The sequence below is a fragment of the Homo sapiens genome, chromosome 14 (assembly GCF_000001405.40).
Source record: "Homo sapiens chromosome 14, GRCh38.p14 Primary Assembly".
Taxonomy (NCBI): domain Eukaryota; kingdom Metazoa; phylum Chordata; class Mammalia; order Primates; family Hominidae; genus Homo; species Homo sapiens.
The window spans coordinates 91,115,405-91,131,697 of record NC_000014.9 but is presented as its reverse complement, the minus strand read 5'-3'; the positions used below and the strand labels follow the sequence as shown (position 1 = coordinate 91,131,697).

The 16,293-nt window shown below is 45.7% G+C and overlaps 1 protein-coding gene and 1 non-coding gene across 13 annotated transcripts in view, besides 2 other annotated features; both read right to left on the bottom strand.

Moving 5' to 3' along the window:
- The window catches only part of DGLUCY (D-glutamate cyclase), a 165,300-nt gene that overhangs the window by 93,935 nt on the left and 55,072 nt on the right, over nucleotides 1-16,293 (bottom strand). The window lies entirely within an intron of this gene.
- Nucleotides 5,146-5,272, bottom strand: SNORA11B (small nucleolar RNA, H/ACA box 11B). Its single transcript, NR_003709.1, has one exon. It is a non-coding gene; the product is annotated as a small nucleolar RNA, H/ACA box 11B (small nucleolar RNA).
- Nucleotides 11,154-12,353: an enhancer, noted in NCBI's record as "CDK7 strongly-dependent group 2 enhancer chr14:91585689-91586888 (GRCh37/hg19 assembly coordinates)". NCBI's record gives its function as "activates an origin of replication core promoter dependent on BRD2, BRD4, P300/CBP, MED14 and CDK7 cofactors, with strong dependence on CDK7, by STARR-seq in HCT116 cells {active_cell/tissue: HCT116}" and the evidence as "EXISTENCE:reporter gene assay evidence [ECO:0000049][PMID:35650434]".
- Nucleotides 14,824-15,325: an enhancer, noted in NCBI's record as "H3K4me1 hESC enhancer chr14:91582717-91583218 (GRCh37/hg19 assembly coordinates)". NCBI's record gives its function as "activates a minimal SCP1, AML or CMV promoter by ChIP-STARR-seq in naive H9 embryonic stem cells {active_cell/tissue: H9 hESC(naive)}" and the evidence as "EXISTENCE:reporter gene assay evidence [ECO:0000049][PMID:30033119]".

The following is a 16,293-nucleotide window of genomic DNA, read 5'->3' as shown; positions in this document are numbered from 1 at the left end:
TTATAACAGGAAAGAATATCTCAAGTTGGTGGACACAGGAAGGGGAACATCACACACCGGGGCCTGTGGTGGGGTGGGGGAAGAGGGGAGGGATAGCATAGGAGATATACCTAATGCAAATGACGAGTTAATGGGTGCAGCACACCAACATGGCACATGTATACATATGTAACAAACCTGCACGTTGTGCACATGTACCCTACAACTTGAAGTATAAGAAAAAAAAAAGACGTTAGGCTTATAACCAACTATATCAGTAATGACAATGAATGTAAATGGAATAAAATTGCCCATAAAAAGACAAAAAAAAAAGAGAATATCTCAAGTTGGGAAAGGTTTCCTAGAGAAGATAAATTTGACATCAAAATTAAGAACTTCTGTCCAAAAGTCACCATAAATAAAATGCAAAAGCATTCCCAAACTGCAAGTAGATATACAAGCATATAACACTGAGGCATGATATTCCGTGTCTATAATCCTAGCATTTTGGAAGGCCAAGACAGGAAGATCACTTGAGGCCAGGAGTTCCAGACCAGCCTGGCCAACATGGTAAAACCTCGTCTCTACTAAAAATACCAAACTTAGCCGGGCGTGGTAGTACGTGGCTGTAATCCCAGCTACTTGGGAGGGTGAGAGGCAGGAGGCTTGCTTGAGCCGGGGAGGTTGAGGCTGCAGTAAGTCATGTTCTTGCCCCTGCACTCCAGCCTGAGCAACAAAGCGAGACCCTGTCACAAAAAGAAAAAAACATAAAACTGATATGGAATAATTACCATCCAGAATATATAAAGAACTCTCATTAATCAATAAGAAAAAGACCACCCCTTCATTAAAAAAATGGGGAGAAAGATATAAACAGGCATTTACAGTACAGAAAAAACAGTTGGTTTATAACTATGAAAAGATTATGCACTGTTAGCTGGGTGTGGTGGTGCACATCTGTGGTCCCAACTACTTGGGAGGCTGAGGTGGTAAGATCGCTTGAGCCTAGGAGGTTGAGGCTGTGTGAGCTGTGACTGCACGACTGCACTCCAGCCTGGGTGACAGAATAAGACCTTGTCTCAAATAAAAATAAATAAATAAGAAAAGATTCTTGGCCAGGTGTGGTGGCTCACACCTGTAATCCCAGCAATTTGGGAGGCCAAGGAGGGCGGATCACAAGGTCAAGAGATCGAGACCATCCTGGCCCATATGGTGAAACCCTGTCTCTACTAAAAATACAAAAATTAGCTGGGCATGGCGGCTTGTGCCTGTAGTCCCAGCTACTCGGGAGGCTGAGGCAGGAGAATGGCTTGAACCCAGGAGGCGGAGGTTGCAGGTTGCTGGTTGCTGAGATCATGCCACTGCACTCCAGCCTCCTGACAGAGCAAGACTCTGTCTAAAAAAAAAAAAAAAGAAAAGAAAAGATTCTTCACTTCAAGAGTAATTAAATACATGCAAATTATAACTATAATGAGACACAGGCCACACTTGTGGGGTTGACAAAAATTAAAATCGACAAGAATGAAGTCAACTGAAACACCATTACTGACTTGTAGTGCAAGGGTTGATTGTTATAAACCACTTTAGGGAAAAAAATTAGCATTATCCCATAGAGTGGAAGCACCTTTAAACCTAGCAATCCATTCTTAGTTATACACTCTAAACAGTACATGCAATGTGGGAAAATCATACAATGTAACACTATGCAGTGGTGAAAAATAAACTACAGCTACCTGCATCAACACAAACGAAGCTCAAAAACATCATGTTGAGGCTGGGCACGGTAGCTCATGCCTGTAATCCCAGCACTTTGGGAGGCCAAGGCGGGTGGATCACCTGAGGTCGGGAGTTCAAGACTAGCCTGACCAATATGGAGAAACTCCCATCTCTACTAAAAATACAAAATTAGCCAGGCGTGGTGGCACATGTCTGTAATCCCAGCTACTAGGGAGGCTGAGGCAGGAGAATCGCTTGAACCCGGAAGGCAGAGGTTGTGGTGAGCCGAGATTGCGCCATTGCACTCCAGCCTGGGCAACAAGAGTGAAACTCCGTCTCAGAAAAAAAAAACAAAAAACAAAAAACATCATGTTGAATAAAAGTCACAGCAATATAGTACATTCTTTTTTTTTTTTTAATTTTTAATTTTGTAGTGAAGGGGTCTCCCTATATTGCCCAGGCTGGTCTTGAATTCCTAGGCTTCAGCAACCCTCCTGCCACAGCCTCTGAAAGTGCTGGGATTACAGGTATGAGTCACCATACCCGGCTAGCATATTCTTATATACAGCATTAAAATAGGCTTCTGGGCTTTGCAAAACCGAACCATATAGTACTTAGAGGCTTAAGGGTATGTGTGTAAAGGAAAACTATAAAGAAAAGCATGAAATCTGTAATTTCCCTCAGGTAGAGACAGGAGAGCACATGACTGGGGAGAAGCACATATAGAAGCTTCTAAGAAACTGACTCTGATCTATTTCTTAACTTGGATCCTAGGGACACAGTTGTTTACTATTCTTTAAGTTGAACATATGGCTTATATGTATATAGATTTCACAATTTTTAAAAATTTAAAAGAAAAGATAAAAAGTGTGTAGATGATGGCTAAGGATGCAGGAATAGAACTGGGTCCCCTGACGCTCAAAGCAGAGGCTAGGCGGATTGTCAGGCTTCTGACCCACTGGAGAATGCAAACCAAGAATGTGCTGAGAGCCCAGCCCCTTAACATTTGATTTTGTCTCCCTAGCATTTTTTTTCTTTCAGAAACTGTCTTTCCCCCAACCCAGAAGGGCTGCCAATCATGGGGCCTTACCTGTCCCATCAATAGTGCCATGTGACTCAGGCCAACTAACCAGGGTATTTCCACTCATCTGGCCTCGGTGGTTATTTAATACAGGGGGTGAGCAGAGGTCCCAAGCGAGTCCATTCAGAGCCCTTCCTGTGTCTTCTGTTGGAACAACTCAGAATCTAAGAGGATTGCTAGACATAAATGCACTGTGAGCCTAGAGCTCCATGAAAATCAGCCTGAAATCCCATTAAAACCAGTAGAAAGACAAGCAGAGAGAAGGGCTGGAGAGTAACAGGGGACAAAGGGGGGGTGAGAAACAAAGTCCTTATCCTGTCATTTAGGTATCTGGATCCAGCCTTTCCTGCTTCCCAGTTATATAGGCTAATACAATCCCCTTTCTGGATCTTTCTTTTATTTTTTGTTTTATTTTATTTTTTTGGTTTGAGACAGAGTCTCGCTCTGTCACACAGGTGGGAGTGCAGTGGTGTGATCATGGCTCATTGTGACCTCCATGCCTGCGCTCAAGTGATCCTCCCACTTCAGCCTCTCCAATAGCTAAGACTACAGGCACATGCCACCACCCCCATGCCCGGCTAATATTCTTGTGGGTTTTTTTTTTTTTTTTTTGTAGAGATGGGGTTTCTCCATGTTGCCCAGGCTGGTCTTGAACTCCTCGGCTCAAGCAGTCCACCTGCCTCAGCCTCCCAAAGTGCTGGGATTATAGGTGTGAGCCACCGTACCGGCCTGGATCTTTCTTAACATCAATTGCAATCAAGTGTCCTAAGTAACTCAGAATTCTGTACCAGGAGCAGGGTTTTGCAAATGACAGACCCTAATATCTGGAATTTGCTGTGTTGAGGTGGGTGTAAGGTGGGGTCTCCCTTCCTGACTCGGGGTGAGCAACACCTCTCAAGTGGTGCAAGGTAGCCAAAGCCTCTCCTGTTGAGCCCAGTGAGTCAGACCACATGCTCAATGAGGCTGGAAATTGGTAGGACTTGTTAAAAAAAAAAAAAAAAAGCCAGGTGCCTGGGGTGTGCTGCCCCTTCTTCAGCCTTCAGTAAGCTCGGTGAGAAAAAGATGCACTTTAGTCCCAGTTGACCTTTCTGAAAGCAGGGAAGGAGAAAAGAAAGCCATGAGTTTCTCTTTCTGCCTGGGGCAAGTAATTCAGCTGAGCTGAGAACCAGAAAATCATATTTCAGGATTGCAAAAGTCAGATTCCCTGCCCCAGGCTAGGAGCACAGGTAAAGGCTGGGAGAAGGACGACACAGTGTGAGAGGGGACAGAAACCGGAAGAAGCAGTTTCCCCTGGCTCCCTGCCAGCCACTTCTGCCCGGCGTTCCCTGCCTGGCCAAACCGCAAACAGCCTGAAGGCAAGGGCCAGACAGCCCGGCCTCATCCCTCTGGCCCAGGCCCAGTGTGTTGGGGCAGAGGCCAGAAGGCTGCAGTCTGAAGGAAGACTCAGGGAGAACGGGGTGTAGAGGGGGCAGGTGCAGCGAGGACAAGGTCCAGATTCTACAGCATGACTTGACTTGAGTTTCTAGCTCCAGTTGGCAGCTCACAGAGTTATCAGAAAATGGACTAAGGTCCTGGCATGGTGGCTTACGCCTGTAATCCCAGCACTTTGGAAGGGTGAGGCAGGACTGCTTGAGGCCAGGAGTTCAAGACCAGCCTGGGCAACACAGCAAGATCCTGTCTCTACAAAATATTTAAAAAATACCCAGGCATGGTGGCACATGCCTGTGGTTCTAGCTACTTGGGAGGCTGAGGTGGGAGGATGGCTTGAGATTGGGAGGTTGAGGCTGTAGTGAGCCATACTTGTGCCACTGCACTTCAGCCTGGGTGACAGAGGGAAATTCTATCTCAAAAAAAAAAAAAAAAAAAAAGAGTATCATCAAGGCCTGACTGAGAAGAATGTACATCGGCCAGCTTTGCTTGGATGTGGGCAGCCTGTACCACACTGGGGTGTTGCATTTCTGGAATTGTTTATGTGGAAAAGGCCATGGATGGATGCCAGGCAGTCAAGGGGTGGAGTGCAGTGGCTATTTATTTCTGCCCTACAGGGGGTGGAATGTGGCCCCCAAAGAGATAAATCCAAGTCCCAACCCTCACCCCATACCTGTGAATATGACTTTATTTGGAAAACGGGTCTTTGTAGATGCAATTAAGTGAAAGATCTTGAGATGAGATTATTATGGATTAATTGAGTGGACCCTAAAACCAGTAACATATTTTTTTGTGTGTGGTGGAGATGGGGTCTTGCTATATTGCCCAGGCTTGTCTCAAACTCCTGGGCTCAAGCAGTTCTCCCACCTTGGCCTCCCAAAGTGCTGAGATAACAGGCCTGAGCCACCGCACCTGGTCTGACACGTTTTTTGTTTTTTCAATGTGTAGGGCATTTGTTTGTAGGGAGGTCACAAGCTCTGTGTCCCTTGTCACAATGACCCCAGATTCCTATTGGGTGTGTTGTAAACAGAGGAGGCATTCTTCGGGCCCCCTGCTCTGAGCACACCCCAACACATGTAATTATAAGAAGGCACAGACATGACAGGAGAAACACAGAAGGGGCCATCCTGTGAAGATGGAGGCAGAGATTGGAGTGACGCAGCTACAGTCCAAGGAACTCCAAGGATTTCCTGGGGCCACAGAAGCTGCAAGAGGCAAGGAAGGATCATTCCCTAGAGGCATCAGAGGGAATATAGTCCCCCTAATACATTGACGTAGAACTCCTACCCCCCAGAGCTGTGAGATAAGAGATTTCTGTTGCTTTTAGCCACCAAGTAAGTTGGGATTTGTTGTGGCAGCCCTAAGAAACCATTACGTGCCCAGCAAATTGGAAAAGTGTCCCCCAGTACCCAGTGGGGCTGTCAGTCACTATCTCAGACCTAGGTGACAATCAAAATAGCCCATCCTCCTTAGCACAATGCTTGGGTTGAGGATGGTCACATGACCCCAGCTAGCCAACCAGAGTTATCCTTTGAATTTGTTTTGTTTTGTTTTGTTTTTTAGAGACTGTGTCCTGCTCTGTCACCCAGGCTAGAGTACAGTGGCAAGATCTCGGCTCACTGCAGCCTCTATCTCCTCGGTTCAAGCAATTCTCCTGACTCAGCCTCCTGAGTAGCCCAGGCTCGGCTAATTTTTGTATTTTTAGTAGAGACAGGATTTCACCATTTTGGCCAGGCTGATCTTGAACTCCTGACCTCAGGTGATCCGCCTGCCTTGGTCTCCCAAAGTGTTGGGATTACAGGAGTGAGCCACTGTGCCCAACCTTAACCTTTGTATTTGTATAGCTGTCGGGAAAGAAGTATTTCTTACCTCTGAAACTGCTAGACACAGGGACAATGTGAGCATAGGCTGCCAGTGGTCATTTGTCACCCCACAGAGAGAGCTGGCTCGAGAAGGAAGCCAACAGAGAAGAAAGCAGAGAGCCAAGAGTAAAAAGAGGCAGGGCTTGACGCTGTCATCCCTGGCCCTACAAGCAACCCTATCTAAACACAGTTCTATCTCTGGACAAACAACCTTACCTAAACACAGATCTATCTCTGGGCTTTTCTGCCAGTCACTTCCCCTTTTCTGCTCAAATCCATTTGAGACAGGATCGCAGCCATTCCAGAGGGCAGAGTCTGCAGCAAGTACGTGTTTGAAATGCTTGTTCCCCGGTGCCGTAAAGAAATAGTACTTGAACATAAATTTAATTTCCTCAGCAAGGCCATTTTTACACTTTCTGCAGAAAGGGTACACTCGCCAGTAGTTGTGCCCCATGAGTATATAGAACAAAGGAGACAGGGTCATTTATAACCTGACTCGTCCACCCTACTGCTGTGTCCAGTTTCCATTGGCTGGAATGGGACCTCAGATCCTGTATTTGTCCCAATTGGCTGGCAACTTAGAACCTTTTAAAAGAGGCAAAGGCAGAGGAGAACAAAGGAAGGAGGAAGTAACTTGTGCAATGTTGAGAAAGGTAAAAACACCTTCAAATAAGGAAGAGGAACAGGCTATGACCTAATACTTGCTTGGACCAGTATAAGCATGCCAGGGCAAATATTCAGGCTAAATTGTGGGAGCTAAGAACATTAAAGTACATTGATTTCTTTATTATGGATAGCAGATATTTAAGAATGTTAGCACAGGTCTTTGAATAAATTTTGCTTCTAAGAGAAGTTACTATTTATTCCTAATTAGATGGGAAGGAAAGTCTCTGAAGAGGAACCTCTACTTCACTTTTTACTGATGTCTCAAGTACAGCAGGTAAAAATCTCATCAGAACAAACAACAAAGGCTTCTATGAAACAGGCTGATTTGTTTCTGATTAACCACAGAATCAGAGTGAGTTACAACCAACCCCTGTGTAACAGGACACTTTCCTTGGCCCGGGCAACACGGCCTTCCACCAGCACTTTCTTCAGGCCTCAGAGAACTCGTGGTTGAAAAAAGCCATGCCATTCACAGAAAGCCTAATCTGCCATGAATTAACAAGCAGCTATGCCCACAGTGGACCTGTTTCCTACCTCCAGCCTGAAGTCCTGCTGAACTGTCAACCCCATAGACCAAATGCAGTAATACAATAAATGTGGAAACCCCAGAGAGAAGAGGAGGCATCAGGAGGAGGGAGGATGGTGCTTCCATCTGCTCAGCTCCTTGACAGCAAATTAGTGAGGAGCAGCTGCTTCACTCCCAGTTAGCTGGGTCTGCTGCTTTTAAAAGTCTGACTATTGGCAGGGTGTGGTGGCTCACGCCTGTAATCCCAGCACTTTGGGAGGCCGAGGTGGGTGGATCACGAGGTCAGGAGATCGAGACCATCCCAGCCAACATGGTGAAACCCCGTCACTACTAAAAATACAAAAATTAGCCGGGCATGATGGCGTGCGACTGTAGTCCCAGCTACTCAGGAAGTTGAGGTAGGAAAATCGCTTGAACCCGGGAGGCAGAGGTTGCAGTAAGCCAAGATTGCACCACTGCACTCCAGCCTGGGTGACAGAGTGAGACTCCATCTCAAAAAAAAAAAAAAAAAAGTCTGATTATTAAAGCCAAAAGATGCGCTGTTAAAACATTGAAAAAAACAGGCTGGATGCAGTGGCTCATGCGTGTAATCCCAGCACTTTGGCAGGCCAAGGCAGGCGAACTGTTTGAGCCCAGAAGTTCAAGACTAGCCTAGCAACATGGCGAAACCCTGTCTCTACAAAAAATCAGCTGGCTGTGGCGGTGCACACCTGTAGTCTCAGCTACCTGGGAAGCTGAGGTCAGAGGATCATCTACACCCAGGGGGTTGAGGTTGCAGTGAGCCATGACTGTGCCACTGCACTCTAGCCTGAGGGACAAAGTGAGACCCTGTCTTGAAAAAAATAATCAGAAACAACCTAAAGTGCTGTTACAATGGACCTAAACTTGATGCACTAGGCTCCATGAGTGAGAGTTTAACGTTTCTGGAAGCATACAGTTCATTCTTTTTTTTTTTAACTGTCTCCACCTCATCTCTCCCAACCTAGCGCGTCAGTATGACAGTTTTCCCAAACAGGGCTGCTCCGTTTCTAAATATTCACAAGTGCCATTTGCCAGGGCCTGCCAGGGCAGCGTTTATTGCTTCAAGATGTGCGCTAATATCAAGTGGCTTTGCAGCATGGGAATATGCTTGGCTGGGCCCCTCCGTTTACTGTCTAACTGATACCTTGGAATCCTGCTCTTATAAATGTTCTGTTGTGTGTTCGTTACTTGACATTTTTGGAAACACCCAAGTTAGACCTATAAAAATGGATTGACTCCTCTGTGATGATCCAGGTACTCATGATACTTCAAGTCTGGTGGCCGTCACTAGTAACTAAGGTGGTGTGGGCCGAACAGAGTTCTCCCTGAGCACAGCGAGCAACTCTTGATTGTCTCTGTGGCTCAGGTGCCTGTCTCCTGCTAAGCCTAAGTCCTCGAAAGACAGGGACTGTGTCTTATCTGTCTTTATGGCCCACAAACCCAGAGTAGTGCCGGCTACATAGTGAGTGCCTCTTTGCTGAATGAAATGCAGCCTTAAGAAAAGAAAGAACTAGCCAAGCACCGTGGCTCACGCCTGTAATCCCAGCACTTTGGGAGGCTGAGGCAGGTGGATCACAAGGTCAGGAGTTTGAGACCAGCCTGGCCAATATAGTGAAACTTTGTCTCTACTAAAAATACAAAAATTAGCCAGACATGGTGGCAGGCGCCTACAGTCCCAGCTACTCCTACTCAGGAGGCTGAGGCAGGAGAATCACTTGAACCCGGGAGGTGGAGGTTGCAGTAAGCCGAGATCGAGCCACTTCACTCCAGTCTGGGCGACAGAGTGAGACTCTATCTCAAAAAAAAAAAAAAAAAACTTTTTTCTTTTATTATAGTTAAAATACACATAACATTGACCATCTTAATCATTTTAAAGTGTACAATTCAGTAACATTAAATACACTCACAGTGATATGCAATGTCATAATTTTTAATTTAAAATAAAAAAAATCTTTCTTTTTTTCTTTTAAAGGTACAATGGCTCACGCCTGTAATCCTAACACTTTGGGAGGCCAAGGCGGGAGGATTGACTGAGCCCAGAAGTTTGAGACCAGCCTGTGCAACACAGTGGAACCCCATCTCTACAAAAAATAAAAAATTAGCTGGGCAGGGTGGCACGTACCTGTGTTCCCAGCTACTCAGGAGACTGAGGTGGGAGCCCGGGAGGTCAAGGCTGAAGTGAGCTGTGGTTGTTGAACCACTGCACTCCAGCCTGGGGAACAGGGTGGGACCCTGTCTCAAAAAAAAAAATAAAAAAATAAAAAGCTCCTTAATAAAATTACTCTAAATAGGTTAACAGTTTTTTCTAAGAGAAAAAAAAAAGATATCATACAGAGCCTGATTTCAAGGCAATCTAGACAACAAGGTGTGAATACTGTTCTCCACTAAATACAACTGCTATCACTTCTTAGCTCTTCTGTGATCATCTCCCAGTGCTCAAAACGTATTCATCAAGCAAATGTGTTGAGCACTCTGTTAGATGATGGGAATAAACAGATGAGCAGACATGGCCAGTGCCTGTGAGGTGCTTAAAGACCAGAGAAGAGACAGATGCTTACTTCTAATTCCCCATGCTATACTGTGAACCTCTTAAGGGTAGGGGTTTTTGTCATTTTTTTCCCCCTGCTCTATCCCCAGTATACTGAACAGTGCCTGGCACACTATAGGCATTTTAAAAATACTTGATGATAGATAAATAATGAAAATCTGGCTGGGGAAGTAGGAGAAGCCTTCACTGAAGACATTAGTTGAGTTTGTTCTTGAAATTATTATTATTATTATTATTATTATTATTATTATTATTATTATTTTTGAGATGGAGTCTCACTCTGTCACCCAGGCTGGAGTGCAGTGGCGCGATCGCCACCACATCTGGCTAATTTTTGTATTTTTAGTAGAGATAGGGTTTCACCATGTTGGCCAGGCTGGTCTCGAACTCCTGATTTCAGGTGATCCACCCACCTCGGCCTCCCAACGTGCTGAGATTACAGGCGTGAGCCACTGCGCCCAGCCAAAAATATTATTTCTTGAAGAAAGAGTTACAGACATCCCCACAGGAGAGGAGGGTCTTCTCAGAAGCTTAGGTACAGAGCAGGTAGCATGATTGGAGGTGGAGTAGGACATGGAAAGAGCCATACAGTTCACTCTTTTGCCATTTACAGAGCACTTTCTGTGTGTCGGGAAATGTGCTTAAGCACTGGAGCTGCTAATGAGGAAGAGGCAAGGAAAACTGTGTTGACAGTGTCAGGCAGGTATGGCCTGGGAGACATTGCATGAGCTTTGACAGACAGCTGGAAATCAGCACTAGGAGAAAGGCTGAAGAAGTCTCTGTAGGTGACAGTGTGAGTGGTTGGCACACCTGGGGTAAAGAGGGAGAGGGGCTGGGAAGATAGACAAAGAGATGCTTGGGAGGGAGCATGTGCATAACCTGAAGGAGTATGAGCTTCATCTAAGAGCCCCAGGAGCACTAAGGGTAGGAGGATCCCCTGAACAGGCAGCACTTGGTGGAGGATGAATGTGAAGAAGAACATCCCTCAGAGACCCTCTGTCGTAAGTATTTGAGAAGCAATCCAGGCTTTCCCCAAAGTGAGAGAATGAGAGGAAGGGCTGATTTGAGGAACTGGAAGAGGTAGACTTGCCAGAACCTGATACCTGATTGAATGTATGCAAAAGGTGCAACGAAAGAAAGGAATCACAAATAATTATCAGGGCCAGGTGGGGTGGCTCATGCCTGTAATCCCAGCACTTTGGGAGGCTGAGGCAGGTGGCTCACCTGAGGACAGAGTTCAAGACCAGCCTGGCCAACATGGTGAAATGCTGTCTCTACTAAAAATACAAAAATTAGCCAGGCGCGGTGGTGGGTGCCTGTAATCCCTGCTACTCAGGAGGCTGAGGCAGGAGAATGGCTTGGACCCAGGAGGTAGAGGCTGCAGGTTGCAGTGAGCTGAGATAGCGTGATTGCACTGCAGCCTGGGTGACAAGAGTGAAACTCCATCTCAAAAAACAATAATAATAATAATTATCAGATTTCTTTTTCCTGGGATGGGCAACTAGCTAACTGTGCCATTCATGAAAATAAATACAAGAAGAGACTGATGAGGAATTTGGTTTTAGAATGCTAAGTAGGAGGAGCCTGTGAGACAGCCCCAGGCAGAGGTCCATGACAGGGTGGACATTCAGCACCAGAAGTCAGGAAGGACACCTGCCCGGAGGAGGGAGAGCTGCGAGTCATCAGCTTTTGCGTGGCTGAGGACACTAAGTGTATTAGTCAGGGTTCTCTAGATGGGACAGGACTAACATGACGAGGAGTTTATTAAGGAGTATTGACTCACACCATCACAAGGTTAAGTCCCACAATAGGCTGTCTGCAAGCCGAGGAGCAGGGAAGCCAATCCAAGTCCCAAAACCTCAAAAGTAGGGAAGCCAACAATGCAGCCTTCAGTCTCAGGCCAAAGCCCTGAGAGCCCCTGGCAAACCACTGGTGTAAGTCCAAGAGTCCAAAGCTGAAGAACTTGGAGTCAGATGTTTGAGGGCAGGAAGCATCCAGCACGGGAGAAAGATGAAGACTGAAAGACTCAGCCAGTCTAGTCCTTCCATGTTCCTCTGCCTGCTTTTGTCCTAGATGAGCTGGCAGCTGATTATATGGTGCCCACCCAGACTGAGGGCGGGTCTGCCTCTCCCAGTTCACTGACTCAAATGTTAATCTCCTTTTGGCAACACCCTCACAGGAACAAGACTTTACATCCTTCAATCCAATCCAGTTGACACTCAACATTAAGCCATCACACCGAGGGAGAGGGCAAAAGGCAGGAAGGGCTGTGGGTGGAACACAGAGACCCAGAGGATATTTAGGGAGTGAGTGGAACAGGAGGTCTCTTTGAAGGAAATGGAAAAAAAATGTCTAGCAAAGTAGGGTGGGAACTTAGAAAGAGTAGCACTGCAGTGAGAAAGAGTCTTCAGGTATGGGAGCACAGTGGTACCAAAGGTCCAGAAAGACAAGGTCAGATCAAGGTAGAAAAGCCTGGGAAATTTGGTCAGGGAAACAGAGTGGGTCAGGGAATATGAGTGAAAGGATATGTACAACTCTGAGGTATATCATTTAGAAGGGAGCTGTTTGCCCTCTAATTCCTCCCCTCTTCGCACTACAGGCAGGAACAGAAGGTGAAGGTGATGTTGAGTCACTTTTGACTATGCAGAAAAGGGAGCAACAAGATGGAGGAAGCTGGGTTCCTGAATGACCCTGTGGAGCAGAGTTGTTTGCCTGTCCTGGACTGACCATTTACCTCTTAGCTATTATGTGAAAGAGGAAAAATCTTCTACCCTTTTTGAGCAAATGTATTTTGGGATCTTTTTTACAATTTAGCCTGTACCCTAACTAATACAGAGTATCTCCCAAAGGCACAGATAATAATAATTTTAGTAGTAGTAGTATAATTTAAAAAAATTTTTTTTAACTTTTTAGGTAGACTTTTTAGGGTCTCACTATGTTGCCCAGGCTGGTTTCGAACTCCCAAGTTCAAGCAATCCTCCTTCCTTGGCCTCACAAAGTGCTGGGATTACAGGCATGAGCCACCGTGCCTGGCCCCACTGATAGGAATATTTCTTGAAAGTATAAACCAAAAGTAAAATTCTAAGCCCTTCAACCAATTGAATGGACCCCCTTTCAGCCAAGGGCATTCCAAAGAAACCTGAAATACTAGTCCAGGCCATGATGGGAGGTGAATGGCTGAACATGCCTCATTATCCCCCACCACTTGGGAGTTTAGATACAACTGACCAGCATTAACATTAAAACAGAGATCTTAAGACAGATAAAAGAGACTCTTTGTAGCCATAAGATACCAAATTCCAACCTGACTCTATCAAATGACAGATAAAGAAGGAAATCAAAATATCTTACCCCCAAATATGTTTCTTCACCATATTTTGAAACTGCTTTTTGTATCTGTAAATCTATTAACTAGCTCTTTCCCCTTCCAAGTCCTCCCACCTTGAAGAGAGTTATGAAGAGTCTGGCACCTTTTAAGGCCTGATAAGAGAGATTCACCTGTAACCCCAGCACTTCAGGAGGCCGAGGCAGGTGGATCACTTGGAGGTCAGGAGTTCAAGACCAATGTGGCCAACATGGTGAAACCCTGGCTCTACTAAAAATCTAAAAATACAAAAATTAGCCAGGCGTGGTGGGGGTGGTGGTGCCTGTAATCCCAGCTACTTGGGAGGCTGAAGGAGGTGAATCGCTTGAACCCAGGAGGTGGAGGGTGCAGTGAGCCAAGATCATCCCACTGTACTCTAGCCTGGACAACAGAGTGAGACTCCGTCTAAAAAAAAAAAGGGGGGGGGGGGGCGGGGAGAATTTACCATCCATTCTCTCTGAAGTCTGCTACCTGGAAGCTTCATCTACATAACAAGAACCTTGGCCCTTGGCTTCCACAACCCCTTTTATCTTGAATCCAAGCATTTCTTCCTGCTAACTTCAACTTTAGGCAAAGCTTAACTCATTTAACTAATTACCAATTGGGAAATCTTTGAATCTACCTATGACCTGAATACCTCAATTCTGGACTGAATCAATCAAACCAATGTGTACTTCACATGTATTGATTGATGTCTATGTCTTCCTAAACTGCATAAAACCAAGCTGTATCCCAACCATGTCAGGCACATGTTCTCAGGACCTCCAGGGTCCTCATGTTTGCCTCAGAATAAGTCTCTTCAAATATTTTACAGTTTGGCGTGTGTGTGTGTGTGTGTGTGTGTATGTGTGTGTGTGTGTATGTGAACAAAAGCTTACTCTGTGCCAGGCATTGTTCTAAACACTTTTCATGTACTATGTCATTTAATCCATACAACACTCCCTAGATGAGGGCTGTTATCCCTATTTTACAGAAAAGGAAGCACAGGATGATTCAGTACTTTGCCTAAAGACTCATAGGTATTGAGTGGCCAAACCAGCAGTCAAGCCCAAGTGTCAGAGGCTTTCAAACCAGAGCCACTCCATCTCGAACAGGGGCTGGGTAAAATAAGGCTGAGACTTACTGGGCTGCATTCCCAGGAACTTAGGCATTCCTAGTCACAGGATGAGATAGGAGGTAGGCACAAGATACAGGTCACAAAGACCCTGCTGATAAAACACTTTGTGGTAAAGAAACCAGCCAAAACCAAGATAGCAATGAAAGTGACCTCTGGTCGTCCTCACTGCTTATTATACACTAACCATAATGCATTAGCATGCAAAAGACACTCCCACCAGCACCATGACAGTTTACAAATGCCATGACAATGTCTGGAAATTACCTTATTTTGTGTAAAGAGGAGAGAAACCCTCAGTTCCAGGAATTGCCCACCCGTTTCCTGGAACACTCATGAATAATCCATCCCTTGTTTAGCACATAATCAATAAATAACCGTTAAGTATACTCAGTCGAGCAGCCCATGCCACTGCTCTACCTATGGAGTAGCCGTTCTTTTTTTTTTTTTGAGACAGACTCTCACTCTGTCGCCAGGCTGGAGTGCAGTGGGGCGATTTCGGCTCACTGCAACCTCTGCCTCCTGGGTTCAAGCAATTCTCCTGCCTCAGCCTCCCAAATAGCTGGGATTACAGGTGCATACCACCACACCCAGCTAATTTTTGTATTTTTAATAGAGATGGGGTTTCACTATGTTGGCCAGGATGGTCTTGATCTCCTAACCTTGTGATCTGTCTGCCTTGGCCTCCCAAAGTGCTGGGATTTCAGGCATGAGCCACCACGCCCGGCCTATTCCTTTACTTTCTTAATAAACTTGCTTTCACTTCCACTTTGCTATGAACTTGCCCCCAGTTGCTTCTTGCACAAGGTCCAAGAACACTCTCGGGGTCTGGTTTGAGGCCCCTTTCTGGTAACACAAGTATTCTGGATTGAGATCATACTTTCAGTCACTATGCTTTTCAAAGCATAACTTTTTACAATTTCACACAGTCAAAAAGACACAGCTTGGTCTTCCAGAGAGCTGTGCCTGAATGTGAACCTCAACATTACTGAAGGACCAAGGGCAGTCATTTAGTTTCTCTACAATTCTGTTTCCTCCAAGACAGCATGAGGAGATCCAAATTACAGACTTCATGGAGCTTCTGGAAGGATAAAACAAATTCAAGTCTGTTTAAGAAATGCTTTGAAAGCTGTAAAGTGTGGCATAAATGAAATATTGCCTTAAGGCAGGTTGGAAAATCCTTAAACCCAAAATAAGAAAATAAACTTTTTTTTTTAATGCAAATACCCTCTAGCAACTTGGCAGATCGCCTGGAAAGGCTGAGAAATCTGTCAAGGAGAGGGTTGGTTTTGTGTATCTGCCATGCTCCACTGAAAAAGGGAGATATTAATTGAAATTAATTGAAAGAGCATATACCTGTGCACTTGGACGAGAATCATTATTATCAAACCAGAAGGAGCAGCAATCTGCATTGCCCACAGGAACCAGGCAGGTACAGAAGTTTTGGGGTGGGTCAAGGAATGCAAAGCTCAGTGCAGGAGAGGTGGGGACTTTGGCAAACCAGCAGCTACAGCGCCAGCCGAGCTGCGGAAACGTGAGCCCATTCTTTCACAACGCGTGAAATTTTCCAAATTTCCAAGAGTCCTCACTCTTACAAATAAAACATGTCAGGGGCCACCAGTTGGCCTCCGGGGATCTAGCCCTCAGCTGGAAGTGACATCTGACTCTTTTAAGATGCTTCCTGGCTAGGTGTGGTGGCTCACGCCTATAATCCCAGCACTTTGGGAGGCCAGGCCGGATGGATGGCTTGAGCTCAGCCTGGCTAACATGGCAAAACCCTGTCTCTGCTAAAACTACAAAAATTAGCCAGACCTGGTGGCATGTGCCTGTAGTCCCTGCTACTTGGGAGGCTGAGGCAGGAGAATAGCCTGAACCCAGGAGATGGAGGTTGCAGTGAGCTGAGATCACACCACTGCACTCCAGCCTGGGCGACACAGCAAGACTCCGTCTCAAAATGAAGGGGGGAAAAAAAGGTGCTTCCTCATAAT